Source organism: Homo sapiens, chromosome 6 (genome assembly GCF_000001405.40).
Source record: "Homo sapiens chromosome 6, GRCh38.p14 Primary Assembly".
Lineage (NCBI taxonomy): Eukaryota > Metazoa > Chordata > Mammalia > Primates > Hominidae > Homo > Homo sapiens.
This window is the reverse complement of record NC_000006.12, coordinates 120267143-120286725: the sequence shown is the minus strand read 5'-3', so window position 1 is coordinate 120286725 and position 19583 is coordinate 120267143.

The window sequence follows — 19583 nt, the reverse complement described above, 5'->3', positions numbered from 1 at the left end:
GGATACACGTGCTATTTTGATACCTGTATACAATGTGTGATGGTGAAATAAGGGAAATTGGGATATACATAACCTCAAGCATTTATTATTTATTTGTGTTGAGAACATTATACTTCTTCTTTTCAAGATACTTTGAAATATATTATAAACGGTTGTTAGCTATAATTCCCCTACTGTACTGTAAGGCCAAGGCAAGGTAACACATGTGTTGTTAACACATGTTTTGTTACAGTAATTTTCCTACTGTAATATCAAATACTAGAACTTGTTTTGGTAATTAAAATATGCTCTTTGAGGATAGGAGTTCCACTTTTAAAAACAACTTTGTCCATTTTTTTATTTGTGTACAATTTTAAATGTTTACCCTTATCCTCCTACTTTTCCTAGGAATGAAGAGAATTAATACAGAGTCATTAAACATCAAAAATTTAGGTGATTCGCTTCAAATTTAATCAGGAAGAATACTGGTCAAAGTTATTAGAGTCTTATCTAATATTATTTATTAGGACTGGAGAGTCTCTGTAAACATAATCTTACTGGTGACAATCTTAATTTTGTTCTTTCAAATTTATTATTTATTTTTAATCGTTAAATTTCTTTACTTAGTTTCAACAAAGAGCCAGTTGTAAAGAGCTAGGTTTTCTTTAGCAGGAAGGTAATTCCACCTGCAACTCTAGCAGGGAGAGAGATATCTCAATCAAAAAATACCCTAGAAGAAAATTGAGATTTTAAAAAAAAAAGTTATACTATTGCACAGTGAGCACAGACTGCATATGTTATTACCCTCAAGGTTTAGTTACTGAACCTTGAAAGTTTCAAATTTTGTTTTCAGTAAAAAGCAACAAAATTTCATAAACAGAATTAATCATGCACATTCACAAAATGCCCTAGAGGATTTAAATTATAAGCCCAAGTTTCATTATTAATACTTATTTCATCTTATCTGGGATACAGTTTACACTCAATATTTTATTTTGGCAAAGTCTGCTCTTCTTTTATTGCTCAAGTAATAGCCTAGTCAAGGTAAGGCATGTTTAAGGATATTACTAAACCATTCCTAAAGCATAGCATCCCTAATGGATTAAAGTAAAGTACAGCTACAGGTATATTTGTATAGAAAGCCACTGAACTAGATAATGCCATCCATGGATTATATAAATAATCAAGAGTTTTTAAAAGAAAACTGTGTATAAAATATCTGTTTCACCTACTATATGCAAAAAATTAAGAAATCTGTAAGAAATTCCTACTAAATAACTGCATGGGCAAGGTCGTGTGCTATTCACTGTGAAAGGGGTGAAACATAATAATAAAATAAAATATAAATAATTTATATACTAAATAAAATTCAATATTTAGTGGTAAAATCAAAGTATAAATAAAATGACAAATGTGAATATGTATAAAATGTGAAACATTTAAAAGCAGTCTGCAATTAACCATTGAATAAGGGAAAATGCTTATAGTGAATTCAATCACATATGAAAAATCATTGTAAGCTGAGGTATGCTGGAAAAAGGCTTCAAGGCAGAGGAAATTGTTGAGCTGAAAACAGAATAAATATAACTAATATATTTAAATATGTAAACATTGTTGCACCAAAAATAAAGTATACATTTTGATATAAATCACAGACTTGGAAATATTTGTAGTAGATAAGAAAGAAGATTATTTTCACTAATATATAAATTTTTTTAAATAAAAAAGCATAAGAGTGAAACTCAAATGAAAATGGCAGAAAATGCATAAGGATTTACGTAAGGAGATAAAAGATCACCAGCAACACCAGAAAGCATGTGAAATGTCACTAGTAGTTGACAAAATATTATTGAAAAGATCAGTGAAGTATTTTAGAAGTTTTAAAAATTGTAATAATCAAAGTTGTAGAAAATATGAAGTGATACATCTCAGATATTAACCCTTACAATATGAATATATAATTTTATATAAATTAAATTTGTATTGTGTTTCAAGAAGTTCAAAGCATTTAAAGTTTTTGGCCCTGTAGTTTTACCTATAAAAATATGTCTAAAGAAATAATCTAGCACAAAAAATTGATGGATGGTGATGTTCATTACCACATTTCATGTAACACAACATTGAAGGAAAAATAGCCAACGATTTGGAAATTGGTACATTAAAAATGATTCATTCATGAGATAAGGTGTGATGAAATCCGTAGAAATGAATTAAAAATTATCTTGTGTCAATGTTATATGAATAATGCTAAAAATAAAATTGTATTTTATAAACCTACTTTTGTGAACACTATTACAGTCATGCCACATAATGACATTTTGGTCAACCACAGACTACATATATGATGACGGTTCCATAAGATTATAATAGAGTTGAAAAATTCCTATCACCTAGTGATGTTATAGCCCTCTGAAGCAGTATTGCAAAACATGATTCATATGTTTTGGTGATGCTGGTGTAAACAAACCTACTGAGCTGCCAGTCATATAAAAGCATAACACAAACAATTATGTACAGTTCACAATACTTGATAATGATAATAAGACTATGTTATTGATTTATGTATTTATTAGAGTTACTTTTTATTGCTATTTTAGAGTATACTTCTTATATCTATTTTTTAAAAAGTTAATCGTAACTACAGGCAGGTCCTTCAGTAGTTAATCCAGAGGAAGGCATTGTTATCACAAGAGATGCCAGCTGCATGCTTGTTATTGCCTCCAAAGACCTTCCAGTGGGACAAGATAATGGAGGTGGAAGACAGTGATTTAATGATCCAGATCCTGTGTAGGCCTAGGATAAGATGTGTATTTGTGTCTTAGTTTTTAATGAAATTTTTCAAAAAGTTAAAAAAATAAGAATAGAAAAAAGCTTGCAGAATAAGAATATAAAAATATTTTTGTACAGCTATAAAATGTGTGTTTTAAGCTGTTATTACAAAAGAGTAAAATAGTTTTAAAATTTTAAACTATTATAGTAAGCTAAGGTTATAGTAAGCTAAGGTTAATATATTATGGAAGAAAAAAGTATTTTTAATAAATTTAGTATAGCCTAAGTTTATAAAATCTACAGTGGTGCACAGTGATGTCCTAGGGTTTCACGTTTATTCACCACTCACTCACTGACTTACTTAGAGCAACTTCCAGTCCTGCAAGCTCATTTCATGGTAAGTGCTATACACATGTGATATAGTTTGGCTGTGTCCCACCCAAATCTCATCTTGAATTATAACTCCCACAATTTCCATGTGTCATGGGAGGAAGCTGGTGGGTAGTAATTGAGTTATGGGGGTGAGTTTTTCCCATGCTGTTCTCATGACAGTGAATACATCTCACAATATTTGATGGTTTTTGAAAACTGGAGTTTTCCTTCAAAAGCTCTCTTCTCTTATCTGCCACCATGTGATATGTGTCTTTCCCCTTCTGCCATGATTGTGAGGCCTTCCCAGCCACGTGGAACTGTAAGTCCATTAAACTTCTTTCTTTTGTAAATTGCCCAGTCTCAGGTATGTCTTTATCAGCAGCATAAAAATTTACTAATACAGTCAGTTGTCCCTTTCTATGTTTATATCTACCCTATTAGTTCTGTCCCTCTAGAGAACCCTGACTAATACAACAGATGTACCATTTTTTCATCTTTTATACCATATTTTTACTATATCTTTTCTGTGTTTAGACATACAAATACGATTGCATTGCAATTGCCTACATCATTTAGTACAGTAACGTGCTGTGCATGTTTGTAGCCTAGGAGCAATAGCCTAAGTGTGTAGTAGGCTGGATTATTCAGGTTTATATAAGTACACTCTGATTTTTGCACAATGAAAAAGTTGCCCAATACCACATTTCACAGAATGTATTCCAATGTTTGTGCAATGCATGACTATATATATAATTGTTTTTATTTCTATCTGTATCTATGTAAATATATATTATATATAAATGCCTTGCTATATTCTAATCCATTAGTTAATATTTCTAACATATTCAAAATATTACTTATCATTTGAAATCTATACTATAAATTTGAATAATACATAATAAACAAAAACAAAATCATTTAAAGTTACAATAATCCTATATCATAAGTAAAACAATATTAACAATACAAAGAAAAACACTGAATCAGAATTTTGGATATATGTCATGGTTTCATAATTTAGAAATAATGTACCCTGAGAATACTGGCAACCAAGAACTAGAAATATGAACTATCCAGGTCTCATTATCTTTGGGAGGAAAATGCTTTTTTTCTAAATGCTAAGTGAATTTATGGTGTTGATTTCTCTGTAAAGAATGTTTTTCAATATCCTCTGGAGCAGTTACATAAAGAATAAAAATTGGCTTTATGTGGCCATTTCTTGTATCAATTGCCAATAAAATTCATGGATATACAATTACATTACATTTCTGTGGAAGCACATCTCCTAGCAGTTAAAGAAATATAGTCAAGTTACATAGGCTTTAGGATATATACTGGAGAGAGTAAGATTAGAGACCTATCAAGGTGAATCATCATACTGTCATTTGGACATCTGTCTCACATGTCACTTTTAAATGTCTCTGATTAGAGATATGGCAGGTTTTTGACAACTTATGTCTCTATCCAACACCATATTTCTTATTTTGAATCCTGAAAAGATATTTTTTCTATAGCTTATCGTCAGGTTATAGGATATGTACTCTCCAAGTTGAACAATTTTCTAAGTGGAGGCTTTCCCAGCTTCGTACAGAGGGAAACTGAAAGAGAAGCTTGCGATGTAAAACACTTATAAGCAATAATTAGCATTCCACTTCCTAAACCATGATAGAAACAGTAGGTTTTTGTAGAAAACGGATTTTTTTTTTTTTTTTGAGATGGAGTCTCACTCTGTCACCCAGGCTGGAGTGCAGTGGTGCGATCTCAGCTCACTGCAACCTCCGCCTCCCAGGTTCAAGCGATTCTCCTGCCTCAGCCTCCTGAGTAGCTGGGACTACAGATACATGCCACCATGCCTGGCTAATTTTTTTTTTTTTTTTGTATTTTTAGTAGAAACAGGGTTTCACCGTGTTAGTCAGGATGGTCTCGATCTCCTGACCTTGTGATCTGCCTGCCTCAGACTCCCAAAGTGCTAGGATTAGAGGTGTGAGCTTGATAGTTGGTAAAGGTAAATTTTAAATGATTGCGCAGGAAAACTAAATAAAATATTTTGTGTAAATGTGAATCGGTCATGGAGAACAACAAATTAGAAATATTTTTATTTGCATATTTATATTTTTATTTATAAGGACAGTAAAAGAGGTATATTATTTGAAAATGCATTAAATCTACTACTGGGGAAAAAGACAGAAGTCATAGCCACACTTGGTAAATTTCAGTTCACCAAAACCCTCATTCATGTTAACATTTATCTTCTTTGAGATAGATTTATATAAATAGATTAATATAAATTTCTATATTTATTTTTATATATAGTTCCTATGAATAAATACTTGATGCCAAATGAATATTTTACTTGGTAGGTTAAAGTTTGTTTTTTAATTCATATAAATAATACATACCAATAAAACACACAAAATAAATAGGTAAAAAAATACAAAACAAAATAATATGTAATATATCAATAATCTGTAGGATGTAAAAAAACAGCAGATTATGAGATTGAGCAGCAAAGGGCTGCAATTTAGTGAAGAGAAAGCTGGTGTAGTGAACTGTGAAGATAGAAGATACTGCACTTTAGAAAAATAGATATAAAGGCAATGACAGAAAATTTTACTAACATTTGAGTCTGAAATATCCAGAGGCTTATTAAAGTAGACGTGCTGAAATCACTCTAACAAATCCAAACATGCATTAGGAAAAGTAGAAGTTTCTTTCTTGCTCCCCTATCCACGGTCTAGTGTGGTTGTGTATGCTGTATGGATCGTTTACATATAGTGATTTAAGGATGTAGCCTCCTTCCTTCCACCCACTATCCTTTAGACTCTGGTTACCATCCACATGCATCTAAGAGAAAGGAACAGAACTTAGAGGAGGAATACCTGTTTCTTAAATTCTTGGTCCACAAGTGGCTCTTATCACTTCTTCACTAGATCTATTGCCAACACACGTAAGTGCAGAGCAGGGATAGAAACCCAACATGCTAATAAGATTAAAAGAAGAGAAAAAAAGACATTGATGAACATCTGTCAGCCTTTACCACAAGAAAATGTGAGTAAAGAATCATATGTAGAATGCATTAAGTTTTTGAAATTCTCACAATTACATAAGGTAAGTTGGGGAAGCTTTATTATATCCATTTTGCAGCTGAGAAAATGTTGAGACCTTTATAAAATTCTTCCAATTTTTCCAATTTCCTCTCACATAGTCCTGTTTCATTAAGGGACTATGTTTATCAAAAGGGATCATGTTTAACATAAGGCATAATTGATAACTGCCATTACTATAAAGTCACCTTGTCAGGTAATTAATTCAGCTTTGGCTTTAGATTACTGTTTTATTTCCTTGTGTATAAATTTCTGTCTTGGATAAAAGGCATGAAGATCTAGAACCTGGTCTTTGTGTTGCCAGGATTCCTACCACATGTGAAATATTTCCTTTGAATCCAAAATAAGAATGAGGTCTTGGTATCTCCTAACAGACTACCTTTGAGAGGCCTGTTTGCCTGCTTCTATAATCTAGTGTTACATCTCCCACAATTTTTCATGCAGGGCTCTGCCTGCTAATTTGCTTCTCGGTGTCCCACACTCAACTCTTAACAGATTTGCCAATACCATCTGCCAACTTCCACCCTGACAACATTCATATGCTATTCTGTCAGCACCATGGAGTACCCTCAGTGCTAACTTGGGTCTGCTCTCCAGCCCTTTAACTGCCTCAGGGGACGAGTCTGTTTAGGTCCCCAAGCCATCACCCTCCTCTCGGCCTCCTTTGGTACTTTAGTCCTAATTGTATCACAAGATAAGACAGAAATGGAATGCATCCACACACATCAATCAGTAGTCTGATTTGAAGTCCATAAAACATTTACCACACAACCATAACTTCAAATGAGAGACAGTGAAAAGGTCATAGTCATAGCTGGCTCTGAGATTTGCAGCTGTCTCCCATAACACATATTGCAACTTAGGAGAGACAAGGCAATAAGTTTCTAATTTCAGGCTTGTCATTTAGGTCCAATTTTGTTTTTTGTTTTTTAAACTTTTATTCCACTGTCGCTTTTAAATGTTAATAGGCATATGAGAGTGTATTAAAATTCTTGAAGTTTACTTAGATTTAAACAAGAATATAGCTTGTCACAGAATGTCTGGAAACATTTAGATGGCCCTTGATATTTCCATACCCTTGAATGCTATGACACTGAGACTTAGTTTGAAATTATTTCATGCAGGGTTTTGAAATGTATGTACACTTGTACATGATGCAACTCCTGGCTACTTCTCAGCCCATATGTTTTCTTTCCATATGGAACCAAATGAAGTAGTGCAAAAATACACAGCTATTTAATTCAAGATTATCCTCTCCATTAAATATGCTCATGAGATTGGCAGCCAGTACTACTCATTGTTCTGCTAAATAAGCTTCCATGACTTCAAACAACTACCATGTGTTATATTTTAACAAGTGTAGAGAACCAGCTTCTTTCAAGTTGGCAAGAGACATCTGTAAGGCATTTCTGGGTTGGTACCAACATAGGGAATGACACAAGTGACATCACCTCATCTTCAATATTCCCTCTCTTTCCAAACATACTTATCAAGAATTTAGTAAGGGTGTTTCCAGAATCAATGCCAGATATTTTTAATAGCTTATTTCCCATAAATTTGATCCTTTTGGCCTAAGTCTGGTCGACAATGAGAGAGCAGTCTGTGGTTAGGGAATATTTCTCTGTTTATCCCTTCAATATCAGAAAGTGTCTAAGCCTCTTTTGATGCAGATGTAGCTGCTCTGTGAGACAACTCACATTGTTTTTGCTGTCAGCTTTCCTGCTAAAGACATGCGTTTTCTTTGTGCTTCATTCAGTTGTCCTATTAGTTGCTACTTCTGGTTACTGCTTAGGAAACAGTGATAACAGATGCAAATGTGAAAATTTTGCCATTGTGCTAAGTCGCAAGTTAAAATTTTGGACATAATGTTTTTAGAAGGATTGTAAAATTGAAGCAATTTATAATATGAAAAAAAGATAATCTTTATAAACAGAGTAAACACTGAGTAATTAAAAATAATAATCCTACAAAATGTACAGTCATGGTGCTTCACTCTTCTGGTCTTCAATGGTTCTATTTAAAATTAAAAACAAGATATTCATGTATATAATAAATCATATAAAAATATATTTAGAAGAAAAATGAGAGCTCTATGTATTATAATACATAGAATATATGATTCTATTAGATGTTTTATCACCAATTTATGTTCTGAGAAGGGTAGAAATGAGTAAAAAGTCAGGTAGTGAACAAATTTAAAATCACTTTGAGCTATTCAGAAAAATATGCTAAGTAAATTGAAGTAAAACTTTATTAATGCTATAAGCCCAGATACTACAAAAAAATGCATATATAGACCTTTAGGTCCTGTTCATAGCTCATTAGTTAGTTCAACTTTCACAAATTACATATGTCATTTATTTGTCATGCCCTCTGATAATTTGAGCACATGCAGTTATCACTGTCCTCAGATAAATTATTCTTAGTGAGGATGCTGACAAGAGGAATGAGATTCTAACTGTCTCTGACAGTGAAGCCAATCGACAAACAGATTGCATAATACTTTATACTAGAATATCCTTACCAAGAGTGCTTGTGAAGCTTACTATAACATTGTAAAATTGAATATACTGGCTGATGTGGAGATAACCACTAAACATAAATGTATAACCCAATAGAAATCTCTAAAAAAGAGTGGGTGAGCCAGGAACATGACATATTCAATGTTATAGAAACATTTGCCTCATGCAAAAATATCCAGTGTTAAAGTGTTTTATTTAAGGTTCAGACTTCTATCAGTAGAAGAATTTATTTAAGGTTAAATTCTATCAGTAGAATTTAAGTAAATAAAGCTAGCAACCATTGATGATCACAATGTTTCAGGAAATCAGCTAGAGTTAAAGTATACTCTGAATGACCATGAAATAATCATGAATGAGGATTATGAAACTGAAGCATAACACAATATAGGGAAAATATAGTAAATGTAAGTGTGAGCTGTACATTTATTTAAATTTTTTTTAAAAACTAGATATGTAGGCTATCAGTGCCTTCCTACACTTACAATGCAAGAATTTAATAGCAATAAAAACAGATCATGCTTAGCATATCCACAGGCTTAAGGTAGGAGAAATTTATTTTACTGTTATCCTTATTTTCTTATTATAACAATCTATTTTTAAAATTTGTTATATGAACCTAACCAGCAAACACTGAAAAAAATTGATGTTTCTCATCAGGTTTACTTATGACCTGCAAAATAAAGTAAGCATATTAGAAAAATAAATTTCAAAATATTCATTGGCATAGTTCAAAAATGTGTACAAGCAGGTAATTTCATGGAAGATAGCATACTGTGCATGCTTTTAGATATTATCAATTAGATGTTTTATTTATAAGTCCCTGAAATCACTTAACATATAACACTGGGAATGCATTTACACTGTGCATTGTCATACTATTATGGCACCTTTGATCAGCTTTGCCATTTCAGACATTTGGTAGTTTTTATATTGATTCAGTCGTTAATCAGAGCATTTTTATTTCAGAATTAGCATATACCAAAACTGTTCTGAGTTATAATGCAAATATGTCCTATCAAAGACTAAATTAACATTTTACTGCTGTTAACCAGAGGCAATGTCTCGTAAAAAAATTAGATGACTATGCCAAAACTTTACATTCTGAGCTGTTTAAAATTACAAGATTTCTAATCCATGCTTACAGATGAAAAGGAGGAAGTGTACCTCCTCCTTTCCCTGCTGACAAAATAAAACACCAGGTTTCAAATCTCAAATGAGAGTTTTGATGTCTCATTAATGTAACTATATTTTTAGAAGCAAGGAAACAACTAACAAGATTATTTAATTCTTCAATAAAATTTATATAATTAGTAAGTTCATGTTTACATTAAGGAAGAGCAAATGTAAAGAAATATTAACATTATATTTCTAATCCTCATGCAAATTTATTGATTATGTTATATAATAGAAAAGTTCATTTCAAATAGTTTCCAATTTCATCACTGAAAGATTATAATTGGCTGAAAAGAAAAGCAAAAGTGTATTCATCTTTGTGAGTGTAATTTGGTAAACGTTTTATTTAGCAACTTTCCACAGGCAATAGTTATGCATTAGTGTTCACCCACAGAAATTCTGGTTCCTAACCTTTAAGGGTTTACACAGCAAATGTTATATTTTTCTGTGTGTAGATAAATTCATAAATCAATGTGTACAGCTCATATTGCCTGAATCTTTATAGCAAATTTTAATCAGCTAAACACAAACAAATTTTGCCACACTTCATCCACCGCTATGATGAGATCAGAATACAGCAGATGTAGCTGCATGACAAAGAAATACTGCAATTAATGTCAGGCAGATTCTGGGTAAAACACGTCATGAAATTGTGACTAACATTTTATCTCGATCATTCAATCATGTTTTTGCACTGTAAAATAGAGTGAGAAGATAATTTTCCTATTCATATGAGAATAGTTTCAGATATAATAAATAGATATTTTGTCAAGTTTCCACAAAGTTTTGTTGCTTTGGAAACCTGAGTGGAGATATATATTTAGGCCATAAGAATGGAGGAAGAGAAGAGAAGAAAGAAAGACTAGAGATTACATCATCTTGTCTTGTGAAGTTAAGAGTATGTACCTGGTTGTGTCCATTCAATAACACAGTTCAGAAAATGTTCTACATTGGTCAGGATCTCGACTAAAACAAAATTAGAAGATTGTTGGCAAGGCAGTTTGGAAGAGAGGTATGAGGATAAACATTTTCGAATGGACACAGAGTGTAAGGATCATCTGTATGCCTACAAGGGGCTAACACTAAGGCCCGTATGACACTATTTCCTGGATGGAAGGGAGACAGCATGCCACCAGGTGCAGGTTGGTGATGGCAAGCTGATTACATAGAATGGTTTCTATCTTGGAGGGTTGGAGGGGGTAGGGGTTGTACTCAAGGAAATACATATGTTACTAGAATATGAATTTTCCTTTTGTGACTCAGTGCTCATGCTATTATCACTATTTTGGACTTACAGAGTGCCTAGTCTATCACACAATATTGTCTTTGACTAAAGGATATATTTTATATGAAAGAGGTACATCTATGGGTTAATACTCGAAGTATTCAATTGTTTACCATGTGCAAGTTCCCATAGAATGATGAGGCATAATGGTAAGGACTCATTCACAAAGTACACTGGGAGAAAACATTCTAAAAGGCTGAAGTGCTGTGCTACAGGGTACATATTAAGCCTTAAATCAATGGTCAATATGTATTGCCATTTCCCACATAGCCAGATTACACAGGTACACCAACAAAAAGGGTAGAAGTATATTGGGCCCCTTCACATTTATAGCCAATAATAATAACACACTTAAGGACTTTATTTTCTTACAACTCTAGGGACAATATACTCGAAACTTGTAGGACTAAGAGATAAGTGCTTCTACAGGGCAAACAGTTGGTTTCAATGAAATGAAAATTGAGTCACCTGGCAATTTTGTTATCTAAATATCACTGAATCAAAGAGAAGTGAGTCAGTGATCCTAATTAAAACTTATAATACAAAATGGGGGCAAGGAGGAGGTGTGTCAGAATCAGTGTTGACTGCATTGACACGTAGTATTCCCATGCTTGATGTATTAGCCCATTTTCACACTGCTATAAAAAAAATACCCAAGACTGGGTAATTTATAAAGGAAAGAGATTTAATTGACTAACAGTTCCACATGGCTGGGGAGGCCTCAGGAAACTTGTAATCAATGCAGAAGGGAAAGCAGGCACCTTCTTCACAAGGTGGCAGAAGGGAGCATGTGAAAGAGGAACTGTCAAACACTTATGAAACCAACAGAACTCAAGAGAACTCACTCACTATTATGAAAACAGCATGGGAGAAACCATCCCCATGATCCAATTACCTCCTTCCCTCGACATGTGGGGATTGCAGGTCCCCCCTTGGCATATCAGGATTACAATTAAGATGAGATTTGGGTGAGAACACAGAGCCAAACCGTATCACTTGATAACACTATTCATGGAAAACTGTGGAAACTCAAGACAAAACTACTGAAGATTTGTATTTTTCTATTTTGAGAACACAGTTTTTTTTTCAACCAAAGGTATAGAGTGGTTGCTATATTGTAGTATATAGTCTTCGTTTGAACCTCTAGGTGTATTCTCTATCCTTCGCTGTCTTTCTCTTTGAATGAGAGAAACTGTTTCCTAGAGTTTCCATTTGAGTTAAATTAAATGGAGTCTGGCAAAAAAAGATAGTGGCTTGGTATTGATTTCCTTTGTTTCCTGCCATTCAGTCCACAATTCAGTAGGTTCTGCATTCTTCTACTAGAGCCATAGCTTCTGTCTGGGCCTCATTCTCAAGGAAATAGCCTTCACTGGGTTCCAGCAAGGGTCCCTTCCCTTGTCCATTTAGGCCAAAACATGATGATAATTTCCCACTGTTGCTTGGTCCCAGAGGCTTTAAACTCTTTTCATTTTTGTTGCCTACTCCTCTATAAATTATCTTCTTAAAACTCTCTTCATATATCCCACTAAGCCTTTTCTTCTGTTCCTAGTCAGGTTTCTGACTAGGGGTTAACATAGTAAATGGCCCAAGAAAAAATGATACATTTTCGGTAATTAAGAGTATTTTAAGAAAATCATAGAGAAAAAAAATGGAAGAGAGGAATGAGAGAGAGGGGGCCCAGAATTGAATAATAGAGTCTAATAAACCAAAAAAGGAGCTTGAAAAACTAATGTATTTTTAAAACCCTGTGACATCAACCACAACATTAAACACAAAACATTAAGCCCAACTTAATAACATTTTAGAGCGTTGTTTGGATTATAAGACAAAGAATGTGTCTTCTATATAAGAGGGATCTGCTGCTATTTTTTGGCTGTCTGCCCTAGAGTTATTTTGTACTCTTTCATTGCCAAATTGTTTAGAGATAAAATCAATAAATGCATTGACTCCTAATGAGCTCAGTTCTAAACTTTGGAATATCAGTACTTTGGAGTAGTTTTACTCTTGGATGGATCACTAGAGATAAAATATCTGATTAGCAAAACTGCTATGGTTTTCGTATATCCCCTAAAGTTCATGTGTTGCATTCTAATTGACGTAGTAAGTATTGGAAGATGGGAACTTTAAGAGGTAATTAGGTAATATGGAATCTGTATTCAGGACAGATTAATGTTATGAACACACAGGAGTAAGTTGGTTATTGTGGGAGTGGGAAACTGATGAAAGGGGGAGGTCTAGCCCTCAGTTTCCCTCTCTCACATGCCTACTACTGCATTATACCTTCCACCATGAGACGACCCTTGCTAGATGCTGGTATCATGCTTTAGAATCCCAACCTTCAGAACTGCCAGCCAAACCAGAGCCATGGGAGCGAAGCCAATGCAGAGAGACCCTACTAGGTTAATGCCTAGTGAAAATGTGGATTTGAAGTTTCCAGAGAGATTCCCCAGTAGGGCAATGCCTAGTGAAGCTGTGGCAGTGAGACAGCCCCTAGGAACCCAGAGCCAGTATGTAACTCCAACCCGAGAGAGCTGAAGCATGAACTGAGCCCAGGAAAACCACAGGAGTGGGGCTGTCTGAGGCACTGGGAGCCCATTCTGCCCAGTGTGCCTAGGTTGTGGGACAGGAAGTTAAAGGAGATAATTCCCCAGCTTTAAAACTTAATGTTGTTTTTCCTTTTGGATTTTGGACTTACTTGGGGATGGTTGTCCTTTTCTTGTTGCCCATTTCTCCCTTTTCAGAATGTCTATCCTATGCCTGTCCCACCATTGTATTTTGAAAGTAGGTAATTTGATTTGATTTTTTGGACTCACCATTGGAGGAATCTGCCTCATTACAAATTATGCTTTGAGTTTCACCCAGATCAAATCTAGATGAGGCTCTAGACTTTGGATTTTGAGTTGATGGTCGAACAAGTTAAGACTTATGAAAATATTATGATAGAATGATTGTGTTTTGCATTGTGAAAAAGATATAAATCTGGAGGGCAAGGAGGTAATGCTATGGTTTGAATACATCCCTCAAGATTCATGTGTGGGAAATGTAATAGCTATAGTCACAGTGTTGGTAGGTGGGATCTTTAAGAGGTGATTAGAGCATGGGGGATCTGCCCTCATGAATTATTCAATACCATTATCTCAGGAGTGGTTAGTTATTGCAAGAGTGGGCTCCTGGTAAACAGGGAAAATTTGGTCCCCATTTTCTCTATGACTTATTTGCTTGCATCTGCCTTCTGCCTTCCATGATAGGGTCACACTCACCAGATGCCAGTGCCATGCTCTTGGACTTCCCAACCCCCAGAACTGTGAGAAATAAATGTCCCTTTTAAATAAATTACTCAGCCTGTGGTATTCCATTATAGCAGCAGAAAACACACTAAGAAAATACCCTACTTTGAAAAAAGTTGTCATACCAAAAATGCATCTACTGCCATATTTGCTATATTACCTTTTACCTTAGGACAATTATTCTCTTTCTAAGAATACACTCTTAAGTTATTTCCATGATTAAAGTCCATGAAACTTGAAAATTTTATATAACAGAAATATTGTGAGCAGGAAGGCTAGAGTATCAATGAAAAAATAAATTTGGGTAATTTTAGACATTAAGGGGATCTGGCATCATGAAAAGGTCAGTACTACATAATAACAGAACTGATTTCCTCATCAGGGTGAATATAGATTTTCAAATTATTATACATTTAAGTTCAAATAGGACATGTGAAACATGGAATGTTAATTATAAGAATTGTTATTTATAACTTTAAAGTTAAAACATAAGTCAATATTTTATGTATATATGTGTATGTGGTTTTATAGCTTTATTTTTATATTTTTAATTGAGATATAAAATAAGTGAAATGAATATCTTTTATTGATGTAGTTCTAGATCACTGAAAAACAATAAGAGTCACCACCACCACAATCAGGAGAGAGACTGAAAACAGTTTATCTCCTTTATTTTTGAATTTTTAGGATGTATTTTTAATTTATTATGATTTTTATTTTTAAATCAATTTTGATTTTTATCCCTTTATTTTTAAATTTATTATGTTTTTTTCTTATCAGATTTGTCGAACATTGTCAAGTACCTTTTCTGTACCTATTGAAATGATCATGTATTTCAAAAAAATTGTAATATTTAATTTGTGAATAATATGCATTGATTTTAAATTATTCAATCAAATTTGCATTCTTAGATAAACCCAGCCTGGTCCTGTTATAATATACATTTATATACGATTAGGTTTGATTTGTTAATATTTTGTTAAAAATTTTGCCTCTGTGTTTATTATAATGGATATTAATCTCTAGTATTATTTTCTTTGTTTGGGGATCAGAAAAAGTTTAGATCAGTAATTTGAGAACTTTCTTTTAAGCTATCTATTAATATATTCAAAGTGAGTTTCTTGTAGATAGCCATGATTGTTTTGTTCTGTTACTCCATTCTAACAATGTCTGTAATTTCTGGGTTGACAGATTGTCTTTAAGAATTGTATTAGCCCGTTTTCATGCTGCTGATAAAGACATACCTGAGACTGGGTAATTTATAAAGAAAAAGAGATTTACTGGACTCACAGTTCCACGTGGCTGGGGAGGCCTCACAATCATGGCAGAAGCTGAAAGGCATGTCTTACATGGCAGCAGAAAAGAAAGGATGAGAACCAAGTGAAAGGGGTTTCCCTTTATAAAACCATCAGATGTCATGAGACTTATTCACTACTAAGAGAACACTATGGTTGAAACTGCCCCCCATAATTCAGTTATCTCCCACCAGGTCCCATCCACAACATGTGGGAATTATGGAAGTTACAATCATTCAAGATGAGATTTGGGTGGAGACATAGCCAAACCATATCAAGCACTTTAAAAATATTTTGCCACTTCCTTCTATTCTCTGGGATTTCTGATAAGAAATCAACTGTCCTTCAAACATTTTTTTCCCTATAGTTGATGCATCATTTCCTTCTGGCTGCTTTTAAATGCCATCTTGAAAATGTTTCACCAGTTTTATTATCATGTACCAGAGCATAGATTTCTTTGAATGTTATTTTGTTTGGGGTTCAGTTAGATTCTTGAATCTGTATGTCTTATGTCTTTCACCAAATTGGGAAGTTTACAAACAATTCTTCAAAACTTTTTTTTTTTTTTGACATTGCAGTCTTTTTTCCTCTCTTTATGGTATTCTACTGTCATGAATGTTAGATATTTTGTTAAAGTCCCACAGGTCCCAAATTGTGCTCTTTCTTTTTTCTCTCTGTTTTTCAGGTTTCATAATTTCTCTTTATTTATCTTCAAATTCACTGCCTTTGTTTTCAAATCTCAATTCTGCTATTCAGTTATCCAGCTATTAAGAATTTTCCTTTTATATTTTTAAAAATGCTATTCGTATCTTCTATTTCTTTGCTAAGTCTTTCATATATTCATTTACCCAAGAATGTTTGTAATTGTGCATGCTGGTGCATTTTTAGATGTGAGTTAAAACCTTTGCCAGATAATTCTCACATCTACATCATATTGGTATATGCTTCTGTTACTTATTTTTTCTGATGCAAGTTGGGATTTTCTTATTTATACATATGTAATTTTAAATTATATCCTGAATAGTTTTAATTTTATATAACTAGACTCTAGGTCATGTTTGAATCATCTAGAGAACAATGATATTTTTCCTTTATCAAGTAATCAACTAGATTGGTATTAGAAAGTAAGTTCTAAGCAGCTTCCCATGGGTTGTGGTTCTAGGATTTACCTGGTTTTCAAAGCCTTTACAATACTATTTCTATCTGTCTCATGTATGTATTACCCTCTTATCCATTGTCCTGACTGAAATTCTGGCATTGGTCTATCTTTAGTTCAATTTTTAAAGTCTATGCTCCTGTTTTTGATTATTGTAACTATATTTTAAATGATACAAATGTCTGGAAAACAATTTGACACTAGGCATTAATAATATTAAAATAATTTATGTATCTTGAACCAATTATTTGCTTAAAAATATATTCTAAAGAAATAAGCAAAGCAATGATCAAATATTTATGAGCAAAGTTCTCCTTTTTCACATAATGCATAAGAGTCAAACTTTCACCATATACAAATGTTCCATAATGGGGAACTTAGGCTATTATTATCAATGCAAACTTCTAATAACAAGAAATAGAGCTATCATATTGTTGAAAAGGTATATGTGGCATTACAGTAAGTTGTGAGGATCACTAAAACATACAAAATACTAGACCTCTTCTTTAACAGTTAATTAGAAAGATTATACAAATAAATGTAACATTCAAACAATAAAATATAAAGTGAAAATGAGGTGTTAAAATAACATTATTTATAGAGAATTTTACAGCAATTAGATCTTAAATTTTTTGAAGTACTGTGAGAATAATTATCAACTTATATATCAGATTTTTTTATATTCCACATTACATTACATTATATACCACATTACATAAAAAAGTAAACATTTCTGGGAGTTACTTTACCAAAACATACAATTAATAATCTTTCATTTTACAAATACATGGGAGGGAAATAAATCCCTGTAGGTCACATATAACTGGCATTTGAAAAGACTTTATAACTTGGAGTAGTTCAAAACAAATAATTAAAAACATCGGGGGGGGGGGGGGGTTGGAGCCAAGACGACCAAATAGGAACAGCTCCCATCTACAGCTCCCAGCATGAGTGATGCAGAAGATGGGTGATTTCTGCATTTCCATCTGAGGTACCAGGTGCATCTCACTAGGGAGTGCCAGACAGGGGGTGCAGGGCAGTGGGTGCAGCACACCCTGCGCAAGCCGAAGCAGGGCAAGGCATTGCCTCACTCGGGAAGTGCAAGGGGTCAGGGAGTTCCCTTTCCTACTCAAAGAAAGGGGTGACAGATGGCACCTGGAAAATCGAGTCACTCCCACCCTAATACTGCGCTTTTCCAACGGGTTTAAAAAATGGCACACCAGGAGATTATATCCTGCACCTGGCTCGGAGGGTCCTAGGCCCACGGAGTCTCACTGATTGCTAGCACAGCAGTCTGGGATCAAACTGCAAGGCCACAGCGAGGCTGGGGGAGGGGCGCCCACCATCGCCCAGGCTTGATTAGGTAAACAAAGCAGCCGGGAAGCTCAAACTGGGTGGAGCCCACCACAGCTCAAGGAGGCCTTCCTGCCTCTGTAGGCTCCACCTCTTGGGGCAGGGCACAGACAAACAAAAAAAGACAGCAGTAACCTCTGCAGACTTAAATGTCCCTGTCTGACAGCTTTGAAGAGAGTAGTGGTTCTCCCAGCAGGCAGCTGGAGATCTGAGAACGGTCAGACTGCCTCCTCAAGTGGGTCCCTGAACCCCGAGTAGCCTAACTGGGAGGCACCCCCCAGTAGGGGCAGACTGACACCTCACACAGCCAGGTACTCCTCTGAGACAAAACTTCCAGAGGAACGATCAGGCAGCAGCATTTGCAGTTCACCAATATCCGCTGTTCTACAGCCACCACTCTTCTGCAGCCACCGCTGTTGATACCCAGGCAAACAGGGTCTGGAGTGGACCTCTAGCAAACTCCAACAGACCTGCAACTGAGGGTCTTGTCTGTTAGAAGGAAAACTAACAAACAGAAAGGACATCCACACCAAAAACCCACCTGTACATCACCATCATCAAAGACCAAAAGTAGATAAAACCACAAAGATGGGGAAAAAACAGAGCAGAAAAACTGGAAACTCTAAAAAGCAGAGTGCCTCTCCTCCACCAAAGGAATGCAGCTCCTCACCAGCAATGGAACAAAGCTGGATGGAGAACGACTTACAAGCCAGAAGAGAGTGGGGGCCAATATTCAACATTCTTAAAGAAATTTCAACCCAGAATTTCATATTCAGCCAAACTAAGCTTCATAAGTGAAGGAGAAGTAAAATCCTTTACAGACAAGCAAATGGTGAGAGATTTCGCCACCACCAGGCCTGAGCTAAAAGAGTTCCTGAAGGAAGCACTAAACATGGAAAGGAACAACCAGTGCCAGCCACTGCAAAAACATGCCAAAATGCAAAGACCATAAAGGCTAGGAAGAAACTGCATCAACTAATGAGCAAAATAACCAGATAACATCATGACAGGACCAAATTCACACATAACAATATTAACTTTAAATGTAAATGGGCTAAATGCTCCAGTTAAAAGACACAGACTGGCAAATTGGATAAAGAGTCAAGACCCATCAGTGTATTGTATTCAGGAAACCCATCTCACGTGCAGAGACACACATAGGCTCAAAATAAAGGGATGGAGGAAGATCTACCAAGCAAATGGAAAACAAAAAAAGGCAGGGGTTGCAATCCTACTCTCCGATAAAACACTTTAAACCAACAAAGATCAAAAGAGACAAAGAAGGCCA